The 3,084-nt window shown below is 44.2% G+C and overlaps 2 annotated features.

The window, feature by feature from the left end:
* Nucleotides 1,182-1,787: an enhancer, noted in NCBI's record as "OCT4-NANOG-H3K27ac hESC enhancer chr6:11650969-11651574 (GRCh37/hg19 assembly coordinates)". NCBI's record gives its function as "activates a minimal SCP1, AML or CMV promoter by ChIP-STARR-seq in naive H9 embryonic stem cells {active_cell/tissue: H9 hESC(naive)}" and the evidence as "EXISTENCE:reporter gene assay evidence [ECO:0000049][PMID:30033119]".
* Nucleotides 1,788-2,393: an enhancer, noted in NCBI's record as "OCT4-NANOG-H3K27ac hESC enhancer chr6:11650363-11650968 (GRCh37/hg19 assembly coordinates)". NCBI's record gives its function as "activates a minimal SCP1, AML or CMV promoter by ChIP-STARR-seq in naive and primed H9 embryonic stem cells {active_cell/tissue: H9 hESC(naive and primed)}" and the evidence as "EXISTENCE:reporter gene assay evidence [ECO:0000049][PMID:30033119]".

The following is a 3,084-nucleotide window of genomic DNA, read 5'->3' as shown; positions in this document are numbered from 1 at the left end:
AAAAAAAGAAATCTCTGGTGCGGCTGGGCATGGTGGCTCACACCTGTAATCCCAGCACTTTGGGAGGCCAAGGCGGGTGGATCACCTGAGGTCAGGAGTTCGAGACCAGCCTGGCCAATGTGGTGAAACCCTGTCTCTACTAAAAATACAAAAAATTACCTAGTTGTGGTGGCACACACCTGTAATCCCAGCACTTTGGGAGGCCGAGTCGGGCAGCTCACTTGAGGTCAGGAGTTGGAGACCAGCCTAGCCAACATGGCAAAACCCCGTCTCTACTAAAAACACAAAAATTAGCCAGGCGTGGTTGCGCACACCTGTAATCCCAGCTACTCAGGAGGCTGAGGCAGGAGAATTGCTTGAACCCGGGAGGCAGATGCTGCAGTGAGCCGAAAACATACCACTGCACTCCAGCCTGAGCAACAGAGCGAGACTCTGTCCCCAACTCGCCCCAGAAAAGAAAAATCTCTGGTTCCATCAGAACCAAGAGTGGCCCAACAAAGGGCTGACCAGTCCAGCTTCCTGGTCATGGAGGTCACACTGATGCTAATGGATCAAGTTGGCAAGCTTGACATTTAATGTAAAACTGCTAGCATCAGATTATTTGGGGCCAACGTTCCCCCAGTGCTTAAGAATCACTGTTATAAATTCTTCTTCCTTGCAGCTCTCAGAACTGATCCCTCCTCTCTTTGGCACGTATCTCTGCCTCAGTTCCAGCTCTCAGCCCCCTCCCTGAATCCCACAGCACCTCCCAACTATGTCCCTGCCTTCAATCTGCCCCATCATCCCCAATCCCTACATTGCTGCCAGAGTGAGCTCTCTGACATGTCTGTCTGAGGTGATGGATATTATTGGGTGTCTCTCAGCATCATTCTGTCTTCTTCTTTAAACAGAGACTGGATTTCGTTCAGACACCTAAATCTCCCACCTTTGCCCTATGCTTCTAGGAAAGCTGTCTCTTCTCCCTTTTCCTTGGGCAGGCCTGATTGATCGAAGAGTTAGCCTATCCACTTACCAGTGACTGTTTTAATATTGGTCCATGTTTCAGTTCTGGACAATGTTCTGGAAGGAAAGGTTTGTGGCTGCTTCTGGGAATATTCTTCACTTCTTATCTGCAGGCCATGAAACGTGTAAAATTCTGCCATGACACTATCACACTGCCTTACTCATTTATGTGTTTGGATCCCTACAGAGACTGTAAGCTCATAGCGTAGGCCTTCTCTTACTCTACTCTTCATCCCACTCCTAATACTGGCACATAGTAGACCTTCAAATAACAGTTGCTGAATGAATGAATGAATGAAGGAATGATGTTTAAATTATCAAGGGTGGTGAATCTTCCCAAAGCACTTCCTAACAGACAAAGGGACAGAGATCCTACTCCACAATAAAAGAGCATCCACTTATTGATGATGTTTGCTATAAACTCACATCTGTTGCAGCTGCCTTTTCCAGAACACAATGCCAGGCCAGATGTCAACCTTCTTTCCTAAGTAGGAAGTGTTTCCTAAGTCACATACACAAGAAGACCTCTCTACAGGATGTTATGATTGCCCCTTAAAGGCAGCAACAAAGCAAGGTTTTAGGACACCAGAGTCAGATGCACTTTGAACACCCTGTCTTCTCAGCAGAGGCAACATCATGTACTGGCCTGAATCATCAAAATCAACAAGACAGGTAGTACAGAAGGGTATGAACTTGAAGCAGAAGGGACCCTGGCCTCACCGGCAGGGCATTACAATTTGAAGTGGACATAAAGCATAATCACCAAAGACATTAAATTAAAAATCCTGCCTGCCCCCATAAAGCCCAGAGGACAAATTAGTAGAGTTGTATACAGGCTGCAATGGAATCATTTGCAATTAAGAGCAGTAATTTAGCTTCTGTTCCTGTAATTATAACTGCTCCTGTGTGGACAGACAGATCCCTCATTGTGTCTGGAACAATCGCAGCATTCCAAACATAAAGCAAGCCAAAGTAGCATACCCCAGGGCCGCCTCTTTCAACAAGCTATCGCTCAACAGCCCCCCGGTGCAGCCGGCTTGAGGGCCCAGTTTCCTGCCATTGTTAGCCTGCTGAGCCTGGAATTCCATCCAAATGGGTTTGACCCCTTTGCTAAACAGCAGTGCATATTTCCCTGATTAGTATATTCCTGTGTTTAGATGGGAAGTGGCAAGGTTGGGGGAGGTGAAGGGAGAAAGACAAGGAAAATAATAAGGAAAAACAACTCCATTCTATTCATACAATGATGATAGCAACCTGGAACTCTGGCTTCATCTGCAAGTGTAATATCCGTGCTACTCATGCATAAATAAATATTCATCCATCAAAAATTCTGTGTTATGTGCATGCCATAGACTAACCAGGCTAGGAATGAGCATGCACACCTGACTTCATTAATAAGTAGTTATTGCTATGGGGGGTCTGTTTATTCTAAGAACATGCAGAAAATTATAAACTATAATCTCCTTGTGGTTGTCCTTAATTACGTGAGTTCTGTCCCTCAAGGATATTTCCTTCTGACAATGACACTGAAGAGGGGCCTTTTGGTATTCGGCAACTGGAGTGATTCCTGCATATATAGGACTGCCCTTCTCCACACCACATCTTCTCCCACCGTACCCTACTTCCTGCTGTTTCGTCTAATGCTACAGTTTCTATCCATTCATTTTGCCTTTTATATTAATCTGGAATTCCCTCTTACAGATCACTTCACCATGTATTCCTTAGCAAACATTTTTATCACCACGTTTATTAATGTCTATTTGTTAATGACCCAAAGGCAAAGAAAAAATAATTCACCGTTTAAAGTCCTACGAGGTTATCAAAATTAAAAACATATATGATTTAAAGACACCATCAAGAAAGTGAAAAAGCCCATAGAGTGGAAGAAAAGTTTCACAAATCATACATTTAATAAGGGACTTGTATCTAGAATATATAGGGAACTATGACAACTCAAGACAAATAACCCAGTTGAAAGCAGGCAAGAAGCTGAACAGACATTTTACCAAAGAAGACATACAAGTAGCCAGCAAGCACATGAAAAGATGTTGGGTGTCATTAGCCCCCAAGGATCAATCAAAA

The sequence above is a fragment of the Homo sapiens genome, chromosome 6 (assembly GCF_000001405.40).
Source record: "Homo sapiens chromosome 6, GRCh38.p14 Primary Assembly".
Classification (NCBI taxonomy): Eukaryota; Metazoa; Chordata; class Mammalia; order Primates; family Hominidae; genus Homo; species Homo sapiens.
The sequence above is the reverse complement of the archived record's forward strand: the minus strand, read 5'-3'. Positions and strand labels throughout refer to the sequence as shown.